Source organism: Homo sapiens, chromosome 7 (genome assembly GCF_000001405.40).
Source record: "Homo sapiens chromosome 7, GRCh38.p14 Primary Assembly".
NCBI classification, from domain to species: Eukaryota; Metazoa; Chordata; class Mammalia; order Primates; family Hominidae; genus Homo; species Homo sapiens.
In genome coordinates, this window is record NC_000007.14 from 65,870,481 (window position 1) to 65,896,930 (window position 26,450).

A 26,450-nucleotide genomic window follows, 5' to 3' on the forward strand; every position below is an offset into this window, starting at 1 on the left:
GTCATTTATAGAATGTTGTTAGCAATTTAATTCATGATAGCTAAAAATGGGCCAGATGTCCATCCGTAGTAGAATGGACACGTAAAATTGTGGATATCTAATATAATGGACTATTATACAGTAATGAAAAATAACAATCACTATTCACAATAGCATGGGTAAACCTCCCAGACCTATTGATGAAAGAAGCCAGATGATCAAGAGATCTCATCAACTGAGTAAAGGAATCTATAAGAAGGGAAGTTGCAGGAGTCTACTTAGATTTATTAAAATCATTAGGGATGTAGAGTGAGGTTTTTGTTTTTTGTTTTTGTTTCTTAATCAGTGTGTCATTCTGTCATCCAGGCTGGAGTGCAGTGGGGCAACGTTGGCTCATTGCAGCCTCAATCCACACCCCTGCCCCAAGCCCTCTGGGCTCAGTCAGTCCTCCCAAGTAGCTGGAACAACAGGCATGCACCACACCTTGCTAATTTTGTATATATTTTTGCAGAGACCAGGGCTCCCTATGTTGCTCAGGCTGGTCTTGAACTGCTGGCCTCAAGCAATCCTCCTGCCTCAGCCTCTCAAAGTGTTGTGAGCCACCCCACCTGGGCAGAGCAAGGATGTTTTTGAGGACTGTGGTAGATAGCTTCCTCATATTCATGTCCTGTGTAATCCTCTCCCTCTGAGCATGGGCTGGACCTAGGGACTATTTTCTTTTTCTTTCTTTCTTTCTTTTTTTTCTTCTTTTTTTGAGATGGAGTTTTTCCTTGTAAGCCAGGCTGGAGTGCAATGGTGTGAGCTTGGCTCACTGCAACCTCCACCTCCCAGGTTCAAGTGATTCTCATGCCTCAGCTTCCCAAGTAGCTGGGTTTACAGGCATGTGCCACCGCATCCGGCTAATTTTTGTATTTTTAGTAGAGACGGGGTTTCACCATGTTGGTCAGCTGGTCTCGAACTCCTGACCTCAGGTGCTCTACCCACCTCGGCCTCCCAAAATTCTGGGATTACAGGTGTGAGCCACCATGACTGGCTGGACCTAGAGACTATTTTCTAAGTAGCAATAGACTTCGTAAAAGTGATGGGATGTCACTTCTGGGATTAGGTTTCAAAAAAGGACTGTGATCTCACTCTCATTTTCTTTTTCTGTCTCTTCCTCTTTCTCCTCCCTCTCCCTGGGGTAAGCCTGCCGCTTCTTACCAAGAGGTGCAAGTGGACAGGAAATGATGTCTCCAGCCAACAGCCAGAGAGGACCTCAGGCCTGCCAGCAGCAGTGGAAGTGAGTTTGAAAGAGGATTCTGAAGCCTTGAGAGAGCTGCAGCCCTGGCTGACAGCTTGATTGTATCCTCATGAGAGCCTGAGCCAGAGGACACAGCTAACCTCACCCAGATTCCTAGCCCGTGGAAACTGTGAGGGAAAAAAAAGTTTATTGTTTATTAACTGCTAAATTTGGGGTGATTTTTACCCAACAATAGATAACGAATACAAGGATATTGCTTATTATTCAAAATCACTATATAAAGCCCCTGAAAAATTGAAAGCTGCAACCAGGGAAACACTGAAAATCTCCAAGAACCCTGTGTTTCTTCTTAAAGACAGTGAGAAAAAGCACATACATCTGTTTTCCTTTTAGTTTTGGCCACCAGGAAGCTCAGAGCCAAATTTATGATGCAATTTTAATAACTATGTAAGCCCCTATGGCCTGCTTATCTGTGTTCTTATTCCTGGCCTTTCATTTTATTCTGACTTTTCTTTTTCTTCGTCCTGATTGTATTAGCTCATCTTTATTTTTCTATATTATATGAGTTATGGTAAGCAACTTCAAATTCAGCTTACGGAAAAGCAAGGCATTCGTAAATCTCTCTTTTTTTTTTTGAGACTCTTACTCTATCGCCCAGGCTGGAGTGCAGTGGCACGATCTTGGCTCACTGCAACCTCCACCTCCCGGGTTCCGGCAATTCTCATGCCTCAGTCTCCCGAGTAGCTGGGATTACAGGCGCCCACCACGACACCGGGCTAATTTGTTTTTGTTTGTTTTTTGTATTTTTAGTAGAGACGCGGTTACGCCATGTAGGCCAGGCTGGTCTCGAACTCCTGACCTCAAGTGATCCACCTGCCTCGGCCTCCCAAAGTGTTGGGATTACGGGTGTAAGCCACTGTACCCGGTCCATAAATCATTTTTTAAAAATAGTTTTTAAATTTAAAACATAGTTTTGCACATTAAAAAAAAAGTTTTGCACAGGTCTAACCGAAGGTGGTGGTGGGAAGATCAGGTCATAGGTGTGGGTCTCTGGAGCTCCAAGCATTGGCCAGGGTTGATTTGGATTGGGTCAGAAATATACAACGAAAAAGGGAAAAAGGATGGCAATTGATTGCCATCCCCAGAGGGAGGGGCCGAGGGTTCGCCCAGTCACCCACAGTGGCATCCTTGCAATGTGCTAGTTAGACCGCTCCTTTAAGTCCCTCCCGCACTGGCCCGCTCGGCCCCGCCCCTCTCTGGCTCCGCCCCTCCCCACCCCTGCCCCGCCCATCCCCACCCCTGCCCCACCCCTTTCTCCCCCGGGCTCCACCCCTCGCGCGCGACCGGCCGCGCGGCGCAGCGCCACGCCGCCTCAGTCTCCGCCCGCCGATCCGGCCTCTTCGGCCGTTGCGCACTCCACCCCCTCCCTCCGCGCCCGCGCGCGCCTTCCCCGCCCCGTCCGCCTCACTCCTTTTGGGGCGGTTGGGCCGCGCGCCTGTGGGGGCGGGGCCCGGAGCAGGCCACCGAGCCAATGGGGCGCGGCGGCGGCGGCGGCGGTGGTGGCGGCGGCGGCGGAGGCGGCGGTGGCGGCGGTGGCGGCTGGGTCGGGCCCCGACGGGCGGCGGCGGCTGAGGTGGAGGCGGAGGGAGGCGGCGGCGGCGGCGGCGGGAAGATGGCGGCTCCCGTCCTGCTAAGAGTGTCGGTGCCGCGGTGGGAGCGGGTGGCCCGGTATGCAGTGTGCGCTGCCGGAATCCTGCTCTCCATCTACGCCTACCACGTGGAGCGGGAGAAGGAGCGGGACCCCGAGCACCGGGCCCTCTGCGACCTGGGGCCCTGGGTGAAGTGCTCCGCCGCCCTTGCCTCCAGGTAGCCGGCTTGGGGGAGTGGGCCAGGAGCGGCCGAGCGGGGCGAGGGTGGAGTCTCGGGGTGGGGAGCGCGCGGCGGGAGCTCAGGCCTGGGGGCGGCGGGGACCGGGCCGCTGGGGAACTGACGGGGTCGGGTCGGGGCCAGGCGGGGGGCGGCGGCGGGGCGCTCCTGCCCGGGGGGCGGCCTGAGCCCAGGCCGCGGGGCGGAGGTGGCGGGGCCGCGAGGCAGCCGGGGAGGGATGAGGTGGCAGAGTGCAGCCGGGAGGCCGGGGCGGACGCGGAGCGGTCGGGCGGGCTGGGGCCCGGCTGTGCAGGAGCGCGAGGGGGCTGCGGAGGGTGGGTCCAGGCTGGCTTGACAGGTTTCCTGGTTCTCGGGAGGCGGGCCGGGGGTGTGGGACCTTGTCCACCGCACCCTTGAGACCAGCGGCAACCTCTTGTCCCCCCGATCGCTGCAGCCGAGGCTTTGGGGCCGGCGCGGAGACAGGGGGGTTGCCTTTCCCACTGTCTTCCTGGTGCTAGGACAGGTGTTTCCGTGGTCAGGCCTCTTTGTACTCCAGCGCTAGTGAGAATTTGCAGACTTAACTGGGACGGTGACATTTGCTGGCAAACACGAATTTGACCCTACTGTGGAAGAAGATACCCGCACTTAACATATCTGATTTCTTGGATTCCCTCTCGTATGTTTCAGTGTGCCAGGAGAAGGAAATGGTCTGAGTTTGGGTCTAGTTTAAGCTTCATTGGAGTAAAGGACAAGTATGTTATGTATATGGTGGTGTTTTAGGCATTGGAATGACTTTTAAACGTTGTTGCCTATTAGCATATTCGAGACCAGCATATTGGTCAGGCTGGTCTCGAACTCCTGACCTCAGGTAATCCACCCACCTCTGCCTTCCAAAGTGCTGGGAATCAAGCATGAGCCACCGCGCCTGGCCTGCTTAAGTGCTTAAAATTGACTTTTCTTGGCCGGGCACAGTGGCTCACGCCTGTAATCCCAGCACTTTGGGAGGCCGAGGCGGGTGGATCATGAGGTCAGGAGTTCAAGACCAGCCTGGCCAACATGGTGAAACCCCGTCTCTACCAAAAATACAAAAATTAGCTGGGTGTGGTGGCATGTGCCTATAGTCCCAGCTACTCGGGAGGCTGAGGCAGGAGAATTGCTTGAACCTGGGAGGCAGAGGTTGCAGTGAGCCAAGACCACACCATTGCACCCCAGCCTGGGCAACAGAATGAGACTCCATCTCAAATAAATAAATAAAATATAAATAAATAATTTTTAAAAATTGACTTGTCTTTAAAAAAGTGTATTTAGCATACACTCTAAATATTCTCATAGTTATATCCTGCAAGAGCTGCATGTTTGTGCATAAAACATCAAGTAGTATATTAAAAGTATGTATAAGTACATGTAAGACTAAAGGTAACTGGATCTCTTTATAGTTTTAAATGTGAATTTAATATGTTGTGACTGAAAGTGATGTTTCATTGTGTAGCTGTGGACATAAAATAGTTTAACTTAGATGCTTGCCAAAGGAGGGTAGGTAAAAATAAGATTTGCTAATAAGAAGAGTAGATAACTTATTTGCCATGTATACAGTGAAATTAAGAAATTTGTTCAATTTGATCAGCCTGTTTATAAACTACTTGCAAAAATCAAGTAGCTTATAAACTACCCATTTAATAAATGAATTTACAAATCAACTTGTTTTGCAGGTAGTTTATATGCAGGCTGATCAAAATCACATATGTATATATACATATATAATCACATATATGTACATATATAGACTCATTTTCTTTTGGAAGTGTGTAGACAAAACATCATTGAAAGTTTTTATTTTGTCAAGCTGAAAGACACTTTTCTTTTTTTTTCTGAGACGGAGTCTTGCTCTGTCACACAGGCTGGAGTGCAGTGGTGCGATCTCGACTCACTGCAACCTCCACCTCCCGGGTTCACTCCATTCTCCTGCCTCAGCCTCCTGAGTAGCTGGGACTACAGGCGCCCGCCACAACGCCCTGCTAATTTTTTGTATTTTTGGTAGAGACGGGGTTTCACCATGTTAGCCAGGATGGTCTCGATCTCCTGACCTCGTGATCCGCCCTCCTCGGCCTCCCAAAGTGCTGGGATTACAGACGTGAGCCACCGCGCCTAGCCTGAAACAGACTTTAAATGAAAGCTGATTATTGGACACCTCAAGTTAGTTTTTTTTGAGTGGTGATTGCCATGTAGCAGTAGTACTCAAATATGTGACTCTTTTAGGAAAAGAAAGTTTGAGCCCAGAGGAAAGTTAACAGACAAAGATTCTGAAGAAAATCATCTTCCAGGATCCAGAGTCAGCACGTGGTTTTGGATTGCTCAAACTCACTTTATTCTCATTTCGCAAGCCCTGTGTCTTAATCCAAACACGGTAAGGTAGAGATTAATGAGAGAATCTTGAGAGGCAGGTGTTATCTGTGTGTAAAGTCCTCTATTATTTTGGGGAGGCATAATGATGGAAAGTTCCAGATTTTATATTTCTAAAGAAATATTTCACCGAAATTAGTAGGCTACAATAGAAATGCTGATTTTTCAATTCTACCATGTACAGCCAGTAAAAACAATAACACACCACTATCTCCTGTCACCATCATTTCATTTAACAAAAGGATATTTCCATTCAAACAATTTGAAAGAACAGAATCTCTCAGAATAAAATATTTTTAAATGGAATCATTTAGCTATATGGAAAAGTTTACTTTCAGACCAGCCTGGCCAACATGCTGAAACCCCGTCTCTACTAAAAATACAAAACAAGCTGGGCGTGGTAGCATGCACCTGTAATCCCAGCTACTCGGGAGGCTGAGGCAGGAGAATCACTTGAACCTGGGATGCAGAGGTTGCAGTAAGCCAAGATCGCGCCATTGCACTCCAGCCTGTGTGACAGAACGAGACTCTGTCTTTAAAAAAAAAAAAAAAAAGTTTACTTTCGTGTCCTTACTTTTTCCCATTTTCCCATAAATCGGTGAAAACTCTGCTGCAAACCTGCACCAGCCTGCCAGCTAACATTCAGTTAGCAGTCCCTGCCCCCTTGGTTTGGTACACTGAGCTCAAATCTAAGGGATCTGGGTGGGCTTCCACCTCTCCCAGTTCTTAGGCTTGTGGCCTTATCTTCATGGTGCCTCAGTTTCTTATGTTAAATAGGGCTTTTAACACCTACTTAGGGCCTGGTGCAGTGGCTCACACCTGTAATCCCAGCAGTTTGGGACGCTGACACCTGGCAGACCTCTTGAGCTCAGGAGTTTCAGACCAGCCTGGGCAACAGGGCAAAACCGTGTCTTTACAAAAAATACAAACGTTAACCGGGCATGGTGGCGCATGCCTGTATTTCCAGCTTCTTGGGAGGCTGAGGTGTGAGGATCACTTGAGCCTGAGAGGCTGAGGTCTGCAGTGAGCCATGATGGTGCCACTGCACTCCAGCCTGGGTGGTAGAGAGAGACCCTGTCTCAAAAAAAGAAAAACAAAAAAACCTACTTTGCCAGATTAGTGTTACGATGAAAAGTGATACATGTATGTTCCTGAAATAAAGCCTGTCCTCAGTTATAGCTGTTACCATTGATTGGAGATGTTCTTTTTTTTCCAGTGTTTGATAATAAATGCCTTTAAGTATAAGTTTCTTGTACATACTTGTTTATATGTTTAAACATTAATTGTTTTAATGTAGTTTATTGCTGACTTTATAGCATAGTATAAAGATGTGTTCATTTAAAACAATTTTGAAGTTGTGCAAGAGAAACTAATGCAGAATATTCTTTTTTTTTTTTTTGATGGAGTCTCGCTGCTCTGTCACCCGGACTGGAGTGCAGTGGCATGATCTCAGCTCACTGCAACCTCCACCTCCCGGGTTCAAGCGATTCTCCTACCTCAGCCTCCCAAGGAGCTGGGATTACAGGTGCCCACCACCATGCCCGGCTAATTTTTGTATTTTTAGTAGAGACAGGGTCTTGCCATGTTGGCCAGGCTGGTCTTAAACTCCTGACCTCAGGTGATCTGCCTGCCTCAGCCTCCGAAAGTGCTGAGATTATAGGCATCAGCCACCGTGTCCAGCTGTAATATGCAGAATATTCTATGTAGGTATTTTCTATATATAAGACCCCCTCTAAGAAGGGTTTCTATGTAAGAATAGTACAAATGATCTGGAAAGGTTAATAGGCTTGACAAATCTATGTTTCTTAAAACTGTAAAAATAGTCTGGTTGTCCTATGGTCTATGTATAGAACATATACCATAGGGGATTGGTTTCAGGACCCCTGTTTTTACTGAGATCCTGGCATACTCAAGTCCCCACTGTGGGCCCTGCAGAACCTGAATGTGAAAATTTGGGCCTCCATATATGCAGGTTTCGGTCTGCATTTGGTTGAAAAAGATCCACGTATAAGTGAGCACACACAGCTTAAACCCGTGTTGTTCAAGGGTCCACTGCATTTGAAAATCAAGTCCATAAAAAAGTTGCCTTATTTTACAAAATGTCGGATTACTACCTCTCCCATATCTTAAAAAAAAAGTACCATCTATTTACTACCCCATTGAGATAATAAAACTTTTAGAATTAGAATAGAACCTAGGGCTGGGCATAGTGGTTCACGCCTGTAATCCCAGCACTTTGGGAGGCTGAGGTGGGTGGATCACCTGAGTTCAGGAGTTTGAGACCAGCCTGGCCAATATGGTGAAACCCCTTGTCTACTAAAAATACAAAAAATTAGCCGGGCATGGTGGTGGGCACCTGTAATTCCAGCTACTCGGGAGGCTGAGGCAGGAGAATCACTTGAACCCGGGAGGTGGAGGTAGCAGTAAGCCGAGATTGTGCCACTGCCCTCCTGCCTGGGCAATAAGAGGGAAACTCTGTCTTACAAAAAAAAAAAAGAACCTAGAAGTATTTACTGCTCTTTGCTTTGTCTGAGACTCAGAGGTTAAGTGACTTGCCCAAGATAGCACAGGTAGTAGCAAATTGAGACTTGACACCTGGCTTCCAGAGTACTTATTTAAAGTCCCCTTTGCACCCCCATTTTAAAAATTAAATTCTTGGCTGGACGCAGTGGCTCACGCCTGTAATCTCAGCACTTTGGGAGGCCGAGGTGGGCGGATCACGAGGTCGGGAGATCAAGACCATCCTGGCTAACATGGTGAAACCCCGTCTCTACTAAAAATACAAAAAAAATTAGCCAGACATGGTGGCACACGCCTGTAGTCCCAGCTACTTGAGAGGGGCTGAGGCAGGAGAATCACTTGAACCCGGGAGGTGGAGGTTGTGGTGAGCTGAGGTCGTGCCACTGCACTCCAGACTGGGTGACAGAGTGAGACTCTGTCTCAAAAAAAAAGAAAAATTAAATTCTTGTCTAGGTAAGGCATTCGCTGCTTCGGATTTGAAAGATAACAAAGCATGTACAGTGAAAAGTCTCCTTCATATCCCTTCCACCAGACAGTTCTCCCGCTCAGTAGACCGCTGTGAAACTTTTCAGAGCCGTTTGACACATAGACAAACATCCACGTGACCATATGATTCCTCCCTTTTTTTAACATGGAAGTATCACGTATGCATCCTTATTGATAGCCTGCTTTTTGCTTGGCATTCGTTCCATTGCTCCCATACTTTAAATGCTTATGTTCATATTTAGTGAAATGTTAATAACTGCTAGTACGTAAAAGAGAATTTGTTCTAGTAGTTTTGACTAACCAAGATAAATTTCAGAAATAAAATTCTTAACATTATCATTGTTTCTTGGTATGGAAATTTCAGAAGCAGGTTGAACTGAAAAGAGTCCAAGAGGAATAGAGAAATATCACAAGGAAGTGAATCTGGACTGTAGTAGAGATAAATGTTAATACTTACAGATAATGCTTACTATGTGCTAGGCAGTGTTCTAAATGTTTTGCATACATTATTGAAGTCTCTCAAGAGTCCCATGAGGCAGGTAGCTTTTATCACCATTTTACACATGAGAAAACTGAGCAACGCAGACTAACACTTGATCCAGGTAGTACAGTGGCAGAGGCCTGATTCTAACCCAGGCAGTCTGGCTCAAGAGTCCAAGCTCTTTACCACTACTCTTTCGTCTTCCTTTCTTCCTTTCCCTCCCACCCTCCTTCTTCCTTTCCTTTCTTTTCTCTCTTTCTTTTCCTTCCTTCTTTTCTTTCTTTTTCCTTCCTTCCTTCCTTTTCTTTATTTTTCCTTCTTCCTTCCTCCTTCGTTCCTTGCTTCCTTCTTTCCTTTTCTTTTTCTTTCCTTTCCTTTTTTTTTCTTTCCTTTCTTTTCTTTCTTCTTTAACTTTTTGAGACATTGTCTCACTCTGTCTCCCCAGGCTGAGTGCAGTGGTGCAGTCATGGCTCACTGCAGCCTCAACCTCCCTGGGTCAAGTGATCCTCCAACCTCAGCTTCCTGAGTAGCTGGGTCTACAGTTGCACACCCCACCATGCCTAGCTAATTTTTTCTATTTTTCATAGTGACGAGGTCTCACTTTGTTGCCTGAGTTGGTCTCAAACTCCTGGCCTCAAGCAGTCTTCCCACTTGGCCTCCCAAAGTGCTGAGATTACAGGTGTGAGCCACCACGCCCAGCCTTTTACCACTACTTTAAATTCCATTTAGATCTAATATTGATAGAGTGATAACCATATCAACCAGATTTTTTAAATATGCAAACAATGGTGCCAGTTTCTGTATCTATGTGACAAAAATATATAGAGTTTGTGGTATCACTTTTACCTGTTTAGAGCACTCTTTGGAAAGGCAGGGAAATTACTGTGAAGGTATTGGTATTCCAGAAGTAAGTTCCTGGAGTGTTTGCCTTCTAAGGTGTGAGGACGTGGTTTGTCACACCCAGTTAACTAACAGATAGACGGTGTAGTGAGCTGTCCGGAAGACTTAGCAGGTTAGCCTAGGGAGGAAGGAGAAAGGGGTTCTGGGCACATGGAGGGAGGGGGAGGGAAAAGAGTTTGTTTGAATCTGTCCTAGATTGGGGTAGCTTTTTCGGAGGGAGGCCTTGTCGTGTGGACCTGCTGCATATAAAGACAGGAGAATTGGACCTGAGGTGTGGTGCTAGCTAAAGCGCCACACAGATCTGGGAATTTAAGAGGAGTTCATTTCCTCAATCATTAGGAAGAACTTGAAAGGGTAGCAAACTGTGGTCATTTGAGAAGAACAGCAAGTGGTCATATTTGAATGTAACATATTCAACTGGGTTGGGAAAGAACCAGAATCTAGATCTTGCCCATAGCAAGTGCAAAACCAGGCGTTCTTATAAACCATGTACTCTTGTAAACACTGATAAGACATAGCACTGAGTCCTGAGCTTTTCTTCTATAAAGTTATTGTACAGGTTGAGGATCCCTAATCCGAAAATCCAAAATCTGAAATGCCCCTGTGAGCATTTCCGTTGAGTGTCATTGGCACTCAAAGTTTTGGATTTTGGACCATTTCAGATTTTGAACTTTCAGATTTGGGATGCTCAACCGGTATATAATGCACATATTCCCAAATCTGAAAAAATCCCAAATCCAAAGCATTTCAGCTCCAAAGTGTTTCAGATAAGGAATATTCAACCTGTACTACATTGTACTAGGCTTGTATTAGATTCCCAGTTTTCAAAATTTGTATCTCAGAATCCCTGTTCTCTGTCAATGAAACAGGGATTTCATACACCTTTGATTCACATTTTAATGTTTTAAGTTTAAAATATTATAAATGTTTATACACAGTCAAATGAATCTCATGCTAAATTTTAATATATTAGAGACAACTGATTTGTCTGCCAGGTTATCTCAAGAGAGTTAATACTGAGTGAAAACAAGTGAGAACCCTAAAAGATTACATACTGTATGATTGCATTTATGTAACATTATTGAAATAACAAACCTGCAGAGATGGAGAACAGATTTAGTGGTTGCTAGGAGTTAGGAATGGGAGGTGAGGGGTGGTGTGGTTATAAAGTGGTAGCATGAGGGAGCTGTGTAGGGATGGAACAGTTCAATGTCTCAGGTGTGATTATACAAAGCTGCAAATGTGATAAAAACTTCATACAACCACACACACACATACTGCATATAAATCCTAGCGTACTCAAGTCCCATTTTGCATACAAAACTGGTGAAACCTGAATAAACTCAGGATTGGAGGAATTTGGGCGAGGGTACTTGGGACCTCCCTGTGTACTTTTTTGTAAATTCCTGTGATTTATAATTATAGTAATTTTAAAATAAAAAGTTGGCCAGGCACAGTGGCTCATGCCTGTAATCCCAGCACTTTGGGAGGCTGAGGCGGATGTATCACGTGAGGTCAGGAGTTCAAGACCAGCTTGGCCAACATGGTGAAACCCCATCTCTACTAAAAATACAAAAATTAGCCGGGCATGGTAGTGGGTGCCTGTAGTCTGAGCTACCTGGGAGGCTGAGGCAGGAGAATCACTTGAACCTGGGAGGCAGAGGTTGCAGTGAGCTGAGATCATGCCACTGCACTCCAGCCTGAGCGACAGAGCAAACTCTGTCTCAAGAAAATAAAATAAAATAGACTGGGTGTAGTGGCTCACGCCTGTAACCCCAGCACTTTGGGAGACTGAGGCGGGTGGATCACCTGAGGTCGGGAGTTGGAGACCAGCCTGACCAACATGGTGAAACCCCATCTCTACTAAAAATACAAAATTAGTCGGGCATGGTGGTGCATGCCTGTAATCTCAGCTACTCGGGAGGCTGAGACAGGAGAGTTGCTTGAACCCAGGAGGCAGAGGTTGCAGTGAGCCAAGATCACGCCATTGCACTCCAGCCTGGGCAACAAGAGTGAAACTCCGTCTGAAAAATAAAATAAAATAAAATAAAAAGTAAAAAAGCAAAAAAAAAAAAAAAGTGCATTTAGAATATTTGAGAGAAAATAAGCAAAAGGAAGAAAATGTAAATTATCTATAATGCTTACACCCAGGACAATAATCCTTGGAATAGAGTGTCTCACTTTGTGTATAGAAATGAAACTTTTAAAATGCCATTTTATTTTTTAATTAAAATTTTTTCTTTCCTTTTTTTTCCTCCTCAGAGTTAGAAAGGATAAAAATGTTATTGATTAGTAAGACTGTAGCTTTATGTTGATATTTTGAAATTTTAGGCTAGTGCTTGTTTGTTCATGTAACATATAAGCACATTCAGTACTATTAGAACTGTTGCATTATGCAATAACATGACTGCCTAATGCATATATCAGGATTAGTACATATTGTAAAGTTTTTATTTTTTACCAAAATGTTTACGACTACCAAGTATTCATTCCTTAACACTATTACATAATTAATTTAGAAATGTTTTACTTTTAAAACTTCTGGACAGGTGTAATTAAATCCTTAGATAGCGTTAATGTACTATTTAAAAAACACACACAAAACATTATCATTGGCAAAACATGCTTTATCATCTATTCATCTTTGTGAATCCGGTTTTTCTTGATACCATGCCATCAAAACAAAACAAATTTGACATAAGACTGCCCAATCATCCATAATTTAAAGTTGGTGTTCGTCAGAAGAATTTTATTGTTCTCATTATACATGTTATACATTTGAGCTTTTTTTTTTTTTTTTTTTTTTGGAGATGGAGTCTCACTCTGTCACCCAGGCTGGAATGCAGTGGTGCCATCTCGGCTCACTGCAACCTCCACCTCCCAGCTTCAAGCGATTTTCCTGCTTCAGCCTCCTGAGTAGCTGGAACTACAGGCATGTGCCACCATGCCTGGCTGATTTTTTGTGTGTGTATATTTTTAGTAGAGACGGGGTTTCACCATGTTGGTCAGGCTCGTCTCGAACTCCTGACCTCAAATGATCCACCCCCACTTGGCCTCCCAAAGTGCTGCAATTACAGGCATGAGCCACCACACCCGGCCACATTTGAGCTTTAAAATACATTGATAGAATAAAATACTGCTTTAATCTTTTTTTGTTTGTTTTTTGAGACGGAGTTTCACTCTTTCACCCAGGCTGGAGTGCAGTGGCGGGTTCTCGGCTCACTGCAACCTCTGCCTTCCAGTTTCAAGTGATTCTCCTGCCTCAGGCTCCCGAGTAGCTGGGATTACAGGCACCTGCCACCAAACCCGGCTAATTTTTGTATTTTTAATAGAGATGGGGTTTCACCATGTTGGCCAGGCTGGTCTCGACCTCCTGACCTCGTAATCTGCCCGCCTCGGCCTCCCAAAGTGCTGGGATTACAGGTGCAAGCCACCACACCCAGCCTAATCTGTTTATGTTATAGATGCACATAAAATTTCATTTAGAAAAATGTTCTTGTAGTGCAATATTTAAAGCTATTGAATTACGATTCATAAGTTTTATTTTGTAGTTAGCATCTCTAACTAGGGGAATTTCAGGGACACTGTTGGCTGTCTTGTGATTACCGATCCTTTTAAAAACTCATCGTATTTGAGAAGTAAAGTAGTAGAAAATCTATGACAAAATCAGGAATTAAAGTAGACAGTATACTCAACTCCACTGTGTTTAAAGTGTTTGATTAATTTCTATACATTGTGCCAGTGGTTAAGATCTGGGACTCTAGAGTCAACCTGAGTTGAAATCTTGGCTCTGTCACTTGATCTCTTGTCTCAGCTTCTTCCTCCATAAAATGAGGGTAGTAATAGTGTTAACTCATAGGATTATTGTGACTATGAAGTGTACCAGTACATGTAAATAGTCCTGGTGTCTGGCATAAAGGTACTCATAAAACATAGTTACTGTTATTTTAGAACATGGTTTAGATCTTGCTGTATGTTTAATTTGTCTTTTCCTCACTTAACATGTCACAGCAGGGCACGGTGGCCATAATCCCAGCACTTTGGGAGGCTGAGGCAGGTGGATCATCTGAGGTCAGGAGTTTGAGACCAGCCTGGCCAACGTGGTGAAACCCCGTCTCTACTAAAAATACAAAAATTAGCTAGGCATGGTAATTCACACTGATGGTCCCAGCTACTTGGGAAGCTGAGGCAGGAGAATTGCTTGCACTGGGGAGGCAGAAGTTGCAGTGAGCCGAGATCATGCCATTGTACTTCAGCCTGGGCGACAGAGTGAGACTGTCTCAAAAAAAAGAAAATATTACCACTATTTTCCCATGTTGTTAAAAATTCCACCAGTAATGGAATAGAATATTAGGTGCCCTGTGCCCTTGCCAAATTGGGCATTCTCATTTTTTAGATATTTGCCAATATGATATATGAAAATTGTCATGTTATTGTTTTGATTTGCATTTTCCCCAAGCATCAGCAAGATTTAATGGTTTCACATTTAAAAAATTTATTTTTTAATTTATAATCACCTTGTTTGATAATGAGGTTTTCATGTTTTTATTAACTGTGTTTCTTCTCCTGCCTGGATAAATTTTAGAATTTTTCACATTGATTTAGACGAATGCTAGTACAAAGGTTTTTTCAAGTCTATGATAATTTTAATGATTTTTCTTGGTAATTTTTGTCTGTAGATTCAAGTTCAGACAGGCATTTCCCATTCTGATATTGTGTAAATATATGTAATTTGTTAGTTCTGAAAAACATGACTTCTTAAATCTCCTAGCATGTAGTTTACTGGGTGTTACATGAGTCTACAACATAATTTTTGTACAGACAAAAATTTTGCATTTCTTCTGGATATTGCCTGTTCATACCTTTGCCCATTTTTTCCCTTTCTGGGTTGTTTATCTTTTCTTCTTATTGCTTTATAGGAGTTCTTTAGATGTCACAATGGTTAATCTTTTGTTATATGTGTTACACATTTTCTCTTCATTTGTTATTTGTCTTTTAATTTTGTTTATGATGTCTTTACATAGAAGTGTTAACTTAGGTGGTCAGATCTTTCACTTAAAAAAATTCTTCATTATTCAACTGGAAAATCTTTCACATATTTATAGTTGTTTTTTTTTTCTGGTTTAGCAAAATCTCTACCATCCCAAGATTATCTTTAAAATATTTTCATATATTTTATGTGAAAAAATTTTTTTCACACTGAGCTCTTTTAGTTTGTATGGAATTTCCTTTTGTGTCTAGTGTAAGGGTAGGGATCTAAATTTTTCCTAAATGGATAGGCTTTTGCCTCTCTCAGTTCATTGACTTGTTCATATTTCAAATGCCACAAGGCTTTTCTGCATACATAAGGCCTCTTTCTGGATTCTCAGTTCTGTTCCAGTGACAGGTCGGTCTGTGTTTATTCCATTACCACCCCTCCCCCGTGGCTTTTTATAGAAGTTTGATATCTGATAGGGCAAATATGCTCATTTCCAAATTTTTCTTTGCTATTGTCATGAATTTACTGTTTCCGGTGAATTCTAGAATAATTTTGATGAGTTCTAAGACAAATCCCACTGAGATTTTGATTAGAATTGTGCTAAATTTATAGACGAATATGGGAAGGAGTCAGTTCTCACTAGCAGGTCTTTCCATCAAGGAGCATATCGTATCTGTTTATTCTGGAGTTGCCTCTCTGATAATGGTTTTAACCTAGATGCTTATTGTGGCATTGTTTTGTTCTAAACACATGTATTACAAAGATAGTATTAGAGTAAATTAGTTGAGGGAAAAGCCTTATATCATCTATCCCTGTTTTCATTTCTCTTTTCACCTTTACTTTTGGTCTAAAGAGACTTTATCATGATATATGGTATATGTATACTCTGGTTCTTGTAATAATCGGCAGTATATTATGATCTCTTTTTCTTGTAGTCATTAATTTAATGATTAAGGACCATTTAATCAAGTTGATAACTGTACTTAACTCTTATTGTTAGATATGAAGGATGTTTCCAGTTTCTGAGGGTACACATTAAGATAGTGCCTTTACTTTTGTTTTATTTGAAAAATGTTTCAGGAGGGGTTGTTTTATTTTTTCAAAAAACCTCTTTGAGGTAATACGCAATTGTTGTGAAAATGTCGTACAATATTGCAGCATATAAAGAAGAAGGTGCCTTTTGAGAAGGTGAGAGTTTTTTTTTTATTATTTTATTTATTTTTTTGAGACGGAGTCTCACTCTGTCGCCCAGGCTGGAGTGCAGTGGTGCAATCTCGGCTCACTGCAACCTCCGCCTCCCGAGTTCACGCCGTTCTCCTGCCTCAGCATCCTGAGTAGCTGGGACTACAGGCGCCTGCCACCATGCCCGGCTAATTTTTTATATTTTTAGTAGAGACGGGGTTTCACCGTGTTAGCCAGGATGGTCTCAATCTCCTGACCTTGTGATCCACCCACCTTGGCCTCCCAGAGTGCTGGGATTACAGGCGTGAGCCACTGCGCCTGTCCGAGTTTTTTTTTTTTTTTTTTTTTTTTTTCTGAGACAGATTGTTACTCTGTCGCCCAAGCTGAAGTGCAGTGGTGCAATCTTGGCTCACTGAAACCTCTGCCTCCTGGGTTCAAGCTATTCTCCTGCCTCAGCCTCCCAAGTAGCTGGGATTACAGGCGCACGCCACCAACCCTGGCTGATTTTACATGTTTTTAGTAGAGATGAGGTTTCACCGTGTTAGCCAGGATGGTCTCAATCTCCTGACCTCATGATCTGCCCACCTCAGCCTCCCAAAGTGCTGGGATTACAGGCATGAGCCACCATGCCTGGCCGGGAAGGTAAGAGTTTTGTTCTCCAAACTTTCAGTCATTAGAGTGCCTCCTTGTTACTTTTGCCATATGCTTGTATCATCTGTACTGTTAATTCATAACAGTTTTCTTAAAATTTACTAAAGAAACCCAGAAATCCTTAGTGATAAGAGCTGTGAACTCATACATTGATCTATATTAGATAAATACATAACGTTGATATTATGTACATTGCTGTATATTAAAGAAATATAACATTGATCCATATTAAATGAGTTTTTCAAAAGTATGTATACTTTATGACACACTGGCACAGTGAGTGGAAGTGTAGGTTCTGAAATCAAGGTTTGGTGCTTTTAGATCCTAATTGTGCTATGGCCTCCCTCAGTGATACTAGATAATAAACTTAAGCCTCCACTTCCATTTTATTTGTTAAATGAGGTTAGTATGCCACCTGCCTTGTAAGGTTATTGTAAAATTAAACAGCAAGTGTACAAGCAGTCAGCACAGCCCTAGTACATAGGTGTTGCCCAAATACTAGCTATCATTCAGTAGAATAATTTGTAAATACCTTGCTCCTCCTTCAAAGTTAGTTCTCACACAAGTGTCTCATTTTTAAAGTGTTTACATAGTATTCATTGTAAGAATGTATTGTGATTTATGAAACATAGCCTTTTTTAATTTTGTTTTTTTTCCTGTCATTTAAAAAAAAAGCAACAAATAACAGGATTGCTTCGCAATATGTATCACCATATTTCCCTCCCAAAGGACTGTACTAATTTGCTGTTCTGTCAGTTTAGACTTTATCACTTAGTGATAGTGGGTTTAAAAATAAAAATTGTTTTTGTTTTAGTTAACATTTTATTATTATTCACCAGCCATTAAGGAACACATTAATTACTATTTATTCTTTCTCGTTGAATCTGTGCAATTTTCTGAGAAGTAGGTAAACCCGCCCCTGTGTGTGTATGTGTCTGTGTGTGTGAGATGCAATTTGTGTGGTGCTAGAAATTGAGAAATTACAGTAATTTCTTATTATTCTGGTCAGAGATCCCTGGAATATCAAAATTGTCTGCAATCTATAGTCACTGTTTTCAAGTCTATAGGGTCCCTGGGAGAAATACTTATATTAAATATTTGCACTGACAAATGGACAACAAAAGGACTCTACGTTTTATTCTTAACTAGGACTTGGGCACCAAACTCCAGGGTAAAAGACTGGAATGAACCCAGCTGGTTCAGGTGGAAATGTTGTTTTTTTGGAATCTAGTTAAGCTTAAATTGTTTCAAACTAAAGCAGGCCATGAGATGAACCCTTTTCATCTTCCCAGTTCTCAAACACACTGAGATCTTCCCCACATTTCACTCCTTTCTGTCAGTTGCTCGAGGTCATGTAACCAGAGTGAGCCCATTTGCCCTGGCTGACTGCTGATCTGGCCTTGGACACCTGCCTTGGCCTCTTCTACCGAAGCTGCAGGTTTGGCCCTGTCTCTCCCTTACTGCGGTGGTGAGGGGGGTGCAGGGGGGAGTTGACAACCTTCTTAACCACTTCAGTCACATGAAAGAAGCAGACAAGTGAGCTTGCATCTGTGTGCTGACCTTTTAACAGTGATGCTGCCCAGTACACTCAGACCCAATCAGTGTTCTCACATCTGCCTTCCTCCTTCCTGAGAATTAGGAGAAAGAAGAGCTCAGCCTTGATTTCTTACCTCAAAAGACAGCACAAACAAACTTGCAGCCATTCTCAGAAGTATTGGTTTTCTGTTGGGTTGTTGCTTGTGTCAAGTCAGCTAGAAAGAGGTGGAGTAAAAACTGGCCTGCTGAGTAGTACCCATAATCCATGTCCTCCCCAACCCCCCAACTACACATCAACCTGCAGGGAGTGACTTCTTACTCTTGAGACGCTCTTTCCTCTTGCTTAATGGTTCGTGACAGTTCTTCATTTTCCTCCTACCACTCTCAATTTTTTTTTTTTTTTGGCTGGCTTATTCTCCTGTATCTGGCCATTAAATGTTGATGTCCCACCAAGCAGCCTTAGGCCCTTCTGTCATTCTTCTTTCCCTTAACAGTCACAGCCATGTCCATGGTCTCACTCATGGGTGAATCCAACATTTTTATCTCTACCCCAACCTCTGCTGTTGAGTACTTCATTTGCTAATATCTAATTGCCTACTAGACATCTCTACTTGGATGTCCCAAAACTAATAAATTCAGTATGTCCAAGATTTATTTCATACTCTTCCTCCAAAAATGCTGTTGGCTATCTCAGTGAAAGGCATCACCACCTAAGCAGTTGTGCAAGTCAGAAACCTGGGACTTGTCCATGATTCTCTTCCTCCCCTCCCCCACCAAATTCAATCAATCACCAGGCCCCATTGATTGTTTTTCACGTTCTTTTATTGTGAACTATAACTTACAGAAAAATCATTGAGCGGTGCATCTTTTTGTTGTTGTAATCACCAAAGTATAACCCTGTAACCAACATTCCGGTCATTAAATAGACCAATGCCAGCACTCCAGAAAGCCCTCCCTTAACTTTCCCCTAGTCAACTATATGCGTCCCCCTTCTCAAAAGTTACCTCTGTCCTGACTTTTATGAGAATCATTTTCTTACTTTTCTAAGATCGCACCTAAACTTAGTAGTTTAGTTTTGCTATTTGAACTTTATATAAATGGAACCATTTAGTTTGTTTTCTTTACTTGGCTGCTTTCACTCAGTGTCATTTTGTGAGATTCACCTGTGTTTTATGGAGCTGTAGTTTGTGCATTAGTCATTGCTGAATAATACTCTATTATGAATATAACACAATTGATATATTCATTCTCTCTCTTTTTTTGTTTTTGTTTTTGGAGACTGAGTTTCACTCTTGTCACCCGGGCTGGAGTACAATGGCATGATCTCAGCTCACTGCAACCTCTGCTTCCTGGGCTCAAGCAATTCTCCTGCCTCAGCCTGCCAAGTAGCTGGGACTACAGGTGCACACCACCACACCTGGGTAATTTTTTTTTTTTTTTTTTTTTTTTGAGACAGAGTCTCGCTCTGTTTCCCAGGCTGGAGTGCAGTGGTGTGATCTCGGCTTACTGCAGCCTCCACCTCCTGGGTTCACACCGTTCTCCTGCCTCAGCCTCCCGAGTAACTGGGACGACAGGCTCCTGCCACCACGCCCGGCTAATTTTTTTGTATTTTTAGTAAAGACAGGGTTTCACCTTGTTAGCCAGGATGGTCTCTATCTCCTGACCTCGTGATCCGCCTGCCTCGGCCTCCCAAAATGCTGGGATTACAGGCGTGAGCCACCACACCCAGCCCCTAATTATTGTCTTTTTAGTAGAGATGGCATTTCACCATGTTGGCCAGGCTGGTCTCAAACTCCTCACCTCAGGTTATCCACCTGCCTTGGCCTCCCAGAGTGCTGGGATTACAGACGTGAGCCACCACATCCAGCCTTCACTCTCTTTTTGATTGATATTTGTCTCCAGTTTGCAGCAATTATGAATACTGCAGCTATAAACATTTTTGCATATCTTCAGTTTTACTTGGTAATGCCAGACTATTTTCCAAAGTGGTTGCACTAGTTTAGATTCCTACCAACAATGTGTGAGAATTCCTGTTTATCCACCTCTTTGCCAAGGCTTAGAATTGTCAGTCTGTTAAATTATATTAACCATTCTGGTAGGTACATAATGGGTTTTTGTGTGTAACTGAGGTATATGTCATACACAATAAAAACAAAAATGTACAGCCTGAAGAGTATTTTACCTATAAATGTATCTATAACCACTACCCAGATGAAGATATAGAATATTTCCGTCACCCAGAAAGTTCTTTCATGGTAATTTCCAGAAAGAAGCTGCTATTCTAACCACACTGTTTTGACTTTGGCCACTATACATGCGTTTGGCCTGTTTTTGAACTTCATATAAATGGGCTCAGACAGTAAGGACTCTGCTGTGTCTGGCTTCTTTTGCCCAGCATAATTTTTTTTTTTTTTTTTTGCAATTTATCCAACTTGGTGGTGGTATGAGTTACTCTTTTTTTCTTGCTGAGTTCTGTTGTATGATTATATTACCCTTTGTTTATTCATTTTCTTATTGATTGTTTCTAGGTTTTGGCTATTGTGAATTAAGCTGCTATGAACATTCTCATATATACTAATTTCTCTTGTGTATATATCTAGGAGTGGATTTCTGGGTCATGGGATAGGTGAGTGTTTAACTTTATTAGAAACAACAGAACAGTTTCCCAAAGTGGTTGTACTAATTAACACTCCACTTTGGTTTTAATTTGCATTTCCCTGATTACTAATGAGGTTGACCAGCCTTTTATATGTTTTTCGGCCATTTGGATATCTTCTCTGTGAAGAGCTCATTGAAGTCTTTTGGCTAATTTTCTGGTTGGTTTGTATAAGGGATAAATGTATTGATCCCCTCCCCTCCCTGCCCCATACCTGTGTTGCATGTATCTATTACTAGCTAGTGGCTGGCCTTTCCTTTTTATTCTCTTAAAGGTGTCTCTTCACTAACAGAATTTTTTTTATTTTTGTTTTTAATTATTATGGATACATAATAGCCATACATATTTATAGGGTAGATGTGGTATTTTGATGCAAGCATAGAATGCATGGTTATCAAATTAGGGTAGAGTACCCCATCACCTGAATCATTTATCATTTCTTCATGTTAGGAATATTCCAATTCTAGTCTTTTAGTCATTTTGAAATATAAAATAAATCATTGTTAACTGTAGTTGCCCTATTGTGGTACTGAACACTAGACTTACTCATTCTTTTTAACTGTATTTTTGTGCCCAGTCACCAATCCCTCTTTATTTCCCACTTCCCTTCCTGTCCTTTACTCTGTCTACATGGGTTCAATTTTTTTTCTTTAACTCCCACATATGGGTGAGAACATGCAATGTTCATCTTTCTGTGCCTGGCTTATTTCTCTTAACATAATGTCCTCCAGTTTTATCCATATTGTTGAAAATGACGGGATTGCATTCATTCTCATGGCTGAACAGTACTGCATTGTGTGTAAGTGCCACATTTTCTTTATCCATTCGTCTGTTGATGGACACTTAGGTTAATCCCATATTTTGGCTATTGTGAATAGTGCTGCAGTAAACATGGGAGTACAGAAATCTCTTCGATACACCAATTTCCTTTCTTTTGGGTGTATACCCAGTAGCAGGATTGCTGGATCACACGGTAGTTCTATTTTTAGTTTTTTTGAGGAACGTCCACATAGTGATTGTACTAATTTACATTACCAACAACAGTGTACAAGGGTTCCCCTTTTTCCACATCCTCACCATCATCTCATCCATTTAAACTGGAGTGAGACGATATCTCATTGTAGTTTTGATTTGCATTTCTCTGATTAATGGAAATTCTTAATTTTAATGTAGTTGAATATTTCTGCCTTTTCCTTTGTAATTGGGGGTTTTTGTATCCTGGTGTGAAGATAATCTACATTATTTTCTGTTACTGTTTTGCCTTTCTCATTTAGATCAACAATCTCTGGAATTTTTGTCTGTGTGGTGTGAGATGGGGTCAGTTTGTTATTCTAGATGACATGAAGATGATGATGATGATGTTTAGTTCCATTTATTGAAAAGGCCATCTCCTCCTGCTTTGTAGAGCTACCTTGGTCATAAATCAGGTAGTTATGTATACCAGGATTTGCCTGCCTCTTCTATTCCTGTTTGTCCTCTCCCAGTGACCCATTGTCTTAAGTACTGTATTTCAGCAATTCTCAAAGTGTGGTCCCAGGACTATGCAGGTTTCCTGAGACCCTTTCAGAGGCCAGGTCAAAACTATTTTGATAGTAACACTTGGTTGTTTTTTGCCTCACACTCATTCTCCCACAAGTGTACAATAGGGTTTTCCAGAGGCCGCATGAAATGCAGTGTTGCAACAGATTGAATGCAGAAGCAGATAAGAGAATCCAGCTGTCTCCCATCAAGCCAAACATTAAGGAGATTTCCAAAACATATCCAACAGTGCCACTCTTCTCACTCATTTTTTTAATCTGTTTTGGAAAACAGTTATTTTTCATTAAAGTGTTATTTATGTTAGCATATAATAGATTTCTTGTTATTTTTAAATGAATGAATTGATATTTAAAACTTTCCTGTTTGGACCTGGTGTGGTGGCTCATACCTGTAATCCATCAGTTTGGGAGGCTGAGGCGGGCAGATAACCTGAGGTTAGGAGTTCGAGACCAGCCTGAGCAACATGGTGAAACCCTGTTTCTACTAAAAATACAAAATTAGCTGGATGTGATAGCACATGCATTTAATCCCAGCTACTTGGGAGGCTGAGGCAGGAGAATCACTTGAACCTGAGAAGTGGAGAGGTTACAGTGAGCCGAGATCATGCCACTGCACTCCAGCCTGGGTGACAGAGGGAGACTCTATCTCAAAAAAGTAAAAATAAATAAATAAATTTCCTGTTTTAATTTCTAATGTGATAAATATAATAGGTATGTGCCACTGCACTCCAGCCTGGGTGACAGAGGGAGATTCCATCTCAAAAAAAGTAAAAATAAATAAATTTCCTGTTGTAATTTCTAATGTGATAAATATAATAGGTATAATGCATGTTAACTAAAGCATTTTAGAGTCTCAGTAGTTTGCAGGAATGTCAAACCAAAAAGTTTGAGAATCACTCGTCTAGTTTTATGTCTTGATATCCAGTGGATAATAAATCTTGGTTATGTGTGGCCCTGGGCCCTGTGCATTTCCACATACATTTTAGAATCAGCTGTGATGTTCCACAAGAATACCTGTTAGGATTTTGATTGGAATTGTGTTGAATCAGTTTGGGAATAATTGACTTTTTTTTTTTTTGAGACGGAGTTTCGCTCCTGTTGCCCAGGCTGGAGTGCAATGGTGCGATCTCGGCTCACTGCAACCTCCGCCTCCCAGGTTCAAGCAATTCTCCTGCCTCAGCTTCCTGAGTAGCTGGGATTACAGGCACCTACTAGCACGCCCGACTAATTTTTGTATTTTTAGTAGAGATGGGGTTTCACTATGTTGGCCAGGCTGGTCTCGAACTCCTGACCTCAGGCGATCCACCTGCCTCAACCTCCCAAAATGTTAGGATTACAGGCATGAGCCACTGCGCCCAGCCAAAATTTTTTTTTTTTAATCTACACCTGCTGTAATGGGAATTTGAAATCTTTATACTATTGAATCCTCTGATTCATAGACATAATTTCTCCATGTGTTTTGAACTTTAATTTTTTTCTCAATTTTGTTACACAATTTTGTGTATAAAGGTTTGCACATTTTCCAAACAGAATTTTTGAAGGAAAAAATTCTACTTAGAAATAAATTGGGGCCGGGCACGGTGGCAGCACTTTGGGAGGCCAAGGCAGGTGGATCACGAGGTCAGAAGATCGAGACCATCCTGGCTAACACGGTGAAACCCCATCTCTACTAAAAATACAAAAAATTAACTGGGCATGGTGGTGGGCACCTGTAGTCCCAGCTACTCGGGAGGCTGAGGCAGGAGAATGGTGTGAACCCGGGAGGTGGAGGTTGCAGTGAGCCGAGATCGCACCACTGCACTCCAGCCTGGGCGACAGAGCGAGACTCCGTCTCAAAAAGGAAAAAGAAAGAAAAGAAAAGAAGTAAATTGGCCAGGCATAGTGTCTTGTGCCTGTAATCCCAGCACTTTGGGAGGGCAAGGCAGGAGGATCACTTGAGCCCAGGAGTTTGAGACCAGCTTGGGCAACACAGTGAGACCCTATCTTTACAAAGAAAAAGTAAGAGAAACTTAAGAATTAACAAGAAAATGAAAGATATTTCTGAAAAACATTGCAAAACTTTACTGAAGCTCATAAAAGAATTGAATAAATGCTAAAACATATTTTGTTCTTGAACAGGATAGCTCTCACATTTGTAAGATGTCAGTATCTGCTGTAAGTTGCTGTATTTTATATTGTTAGAAAGATCCTTTTTTACTTTTTATGATTTCTAAAGTTAAGATACGCCTTAAAGCTGATGACATCTTCCAGGTACTTCTGGCCATATGGTAATTATGAAGTTAGGTTAGGAGCATCTTAACCAACTTACCTTACATAACTTTACTTTCATTATAAGCACAAGTTAGATGGGATATGAAAACAGAAACATTTAAGTCTAAAGAAGCTATTTCAATTGGCATAAAATAACTGTGCATCTTAAATTGAAAATGTATTAAATTTAGTGAAATAGGCCAGGCACAGTGGCTCATGCCTATAATCCAGCACTTTGGGAGGCTGAGGATCACTTGAGGCCAGGAGTTGGAGACCAGCCTGGGCCATATAGTGAAATGCCATCTGTGAGAAAAAAAAAAAAAAAAAAAAAAAAAAAATATATATATATATATATATATATATATATATATATACACACACACACACACACACACATATAATTTGTGAATTTAAAGTAATCCCAATTAATATCTCAATAGGCTTTTCAAAACTTGATTCTAAAGTTTATATGAAAGAACGAAAATGAAACTTTTCACAAAAATTATGAAAATCTGTTCATGAGGGAGGTATTAGTGCTGTGAAATATTAAAGTGTATGTTGAAGCCAAACCAATTTGAGCATCAGATCACTGGCACAGAGCTGACAGCACTGAAGTAGCCTCATCTATAGAAATGTTTTATGTGGTCAACAGTGGTATATGTGATGAAAATAGTGAATTCCTTAGTAAATGGTATTGGGTGAACTGAGTAGCCATTGGGAAAAAAAGAGAACTATCTTGCTATCTCACTTCTTTTTTTTTTTTTTTTTTTTTTGAGACAGAGTCTCCCTCTGTCCAGGCTGGAGTGCAGTGGCGTGATCTCGGCTCACTGCAACCTCCGCCTCCCGGGTTCAAGCGATTCTCCTGCCTCAGCTTCCCAAGTAGCTGGGATTACAGGTGCCCGCTACCACACTCGGCCAACTTTTTTTTTTTTTTTTTGTAGTAGAGCCGGGGGTTTCACCATGTTGGCCAGGCTCGTTTTGAACTCCTGACCTCAAGTGATTCACTCGCCTCAGCCTCCCAAAGTGCTAGGATTTTAGGTGTGAGCCACCGCGCCCAGCCATTATCTCACTTCTTTTGTTTAACATGTCTATGAGATTTATTTATGTTGTATATTGCAGTTCTTCTTTAGGATATCACATTTTATCTGTTTTACTATTGATGAAAATTTTGGTTGTTTCTATATTTTGGCTAAAGTGAATAAAACTGCTAAGAACATTTATACATGTTTGGTGGACATAAATACTCATTTTCTGTTGGAATTGAGTGGGACTGCTGGGTCATAGGATGTATGTTTGTTTAGTTTTGGTATATATTGCCAGTTTTCCAGAATAATTGCAACAGCTTACCCTCCTACCAGCAATGTAATAGGTTCCGCTCCTATCTTCCCCTCCCTCCCTCCCTTCCTCCCTCCTTCCTTCCTTCCTTCTTTCCCTCCCTCCCTCCCTCCTTCCCTTTTCCTCTTCCTTTTCTTCTTCCTCTTTCTCTTCCTGCCTCTCTTATGATTCTTCATCATTCAACTTGAGCCCTTGCATACAGAAAAAAAAGTTGATGAATTTGCGTAAAAACAGACACGCTGCTGGGCCTGGTGGCTCATGCCTATAATCCCAGCACTTTGAGAGGCTGAGGCAGGCTGATCACTTGAAGCCAAGAGTTCGAGACCAGCCTGGCCAACAAGGTGAAACTGTCTCTATTAAAAATACAAAAATTAGCCAGGTGTAGTGGCACATGCCTGTAATCCCAGCTACTTGGGATGCTGAGGCAAGAGGATTGCTTGAACCTGGGAGGT

The 26,450-nt window shown here is 42.2% G+C and overlaps 1 protein-coding gene across 4 annotated transcripts in view, besides 7 other annotated features; it reads left to right on the top strand.

Moving 5' to 3' along the window:
* Nucleotides 1-26,450, top strand: part of VKORC1L1 (vitamin K epoxide reductase complex subunit 1L1) — a 93,787-nt gene that overhangs the window by 4,709 nt on the left and 62,628 nt on the right. For 2 of the 4 annotated variants that reach the window (NM_173517.6, NM_001284342.3), the window contains exon 1: nucleotides 2,594-3,085. In NM_173517.6, coding sequence (NP_775788.2) covers nucleotides 2,892-3,085 — 194 coding nt within the window. In that variant the 5' untranslated portion in view covers nucleotides 2,594-2,891. Of the gene's footprint in view, nucleotides 1-1,164; nucleotides 1,259-2,593; nucleotides 3,086-5,341; nucleotides 5,490-26,450 lie in introns of those variants that run through there. The other 2 variants (XM_047419923.1, XM_011515831.3) reach the window with 2 other exon arrangements.
* Nucleotides 2,286-2,345: a silencer, noted in NCBI's record as "silent region_18200". NCBI's record gives its function as "represses an Ori minimal core promoter by ATAC-STARR-seq in GM12878 lymphoblastoid cells {active_cell/tissue: GM12878}" and the evidence as "EXISTENCE:reporter gene assay evidence [ECO:0000049][PMID:35858748]".
* Nucleotides 2,366-2,865: a silencer, noted in NCBI's record as "silent region_18201". NCBI's record gives its function as "represses an Ori minimal core promoter by ATAC-STARR-seq in GM12878 lymphoblastoid cells {active_cell/tissue: GM12878}" and the evidence as "EXISTENCE:reporter gene assay evidence [ECO:0000049][PMID:35858748]".
* Nucleotides 2,366-2,992: a biological region, named in NCBI's record as "H3K27ac hESC enhancer GRCh37_chr7:65337908-65338459".
* Nucleotides 2,441-2,992: an enhancer, noted in NCBI's record as "H3K27ac hESC enhancer chr7:65337908-65338459 (GRCh37/hg19 assembly coordinates)". NCBI's record gives its function as "activates a minimal SCP1, AML or CMV promoter by ChIP-STARR-seq in primed H9 embryonic stem cells {active_cell/tissue: H9 hESC(primed)}" and the evidence as "EXISTENCE:reporter gene assay evidence [ECO:0000049][PMID:30033119]".
* Nucleotides 2,579-2,758: a silencer, noted in NCBI's record as "fragment chr7:65338046-65338225 (GRCh37/hg19 assembly coordinates)". NCBI's record gives its function as "represses an EF-1alpha promoter that drives an FKBP-Casp9 reporter gene in an ReSE screen in both phorbol 12-myristate 13-acetate-treated (for megakaryocytic differentiation) and untreated K562 erythroleukemia cells {active_cell/tissue: K562 | K562(+PMA)}" and the evidence as "EXISTENCE:reporter gene assay evidence [ECO:0000049][PMID:32094911]".
* Nucleotides 3,306-3,375: a silencer, noted in NCBI's record as "silent region_18202". NCBI's record gives its function as "represses an Ori minimal core promoter by ATAC-STARR-seq in GM12878 lymphoblastoid cells {active_cell/tissue: GM12878}" and the evidence as "EXISTENCE:reporter gene assay evidence [ECO:0000049][PMID:35858748]".
* Nucleotides 3,544-4,095: an enhancer, noted in NCBI's record as "H3K27ac-H3K4me1 hESC enhancer chr7:65339011-65339562 (GRCh37/hg19 assembly coordinates)". NCBI's record gives its function as "activates a minimal SCP1, AML or CMV promoter by ChIP-STARR-seq in primed H9 embryonic stem cells {active_cell/tissue: H9 hESC(primed)}" and the evidence as "EXISTENCE:reporter gene assay evidence [ECO:0000049][PMID:30033119]".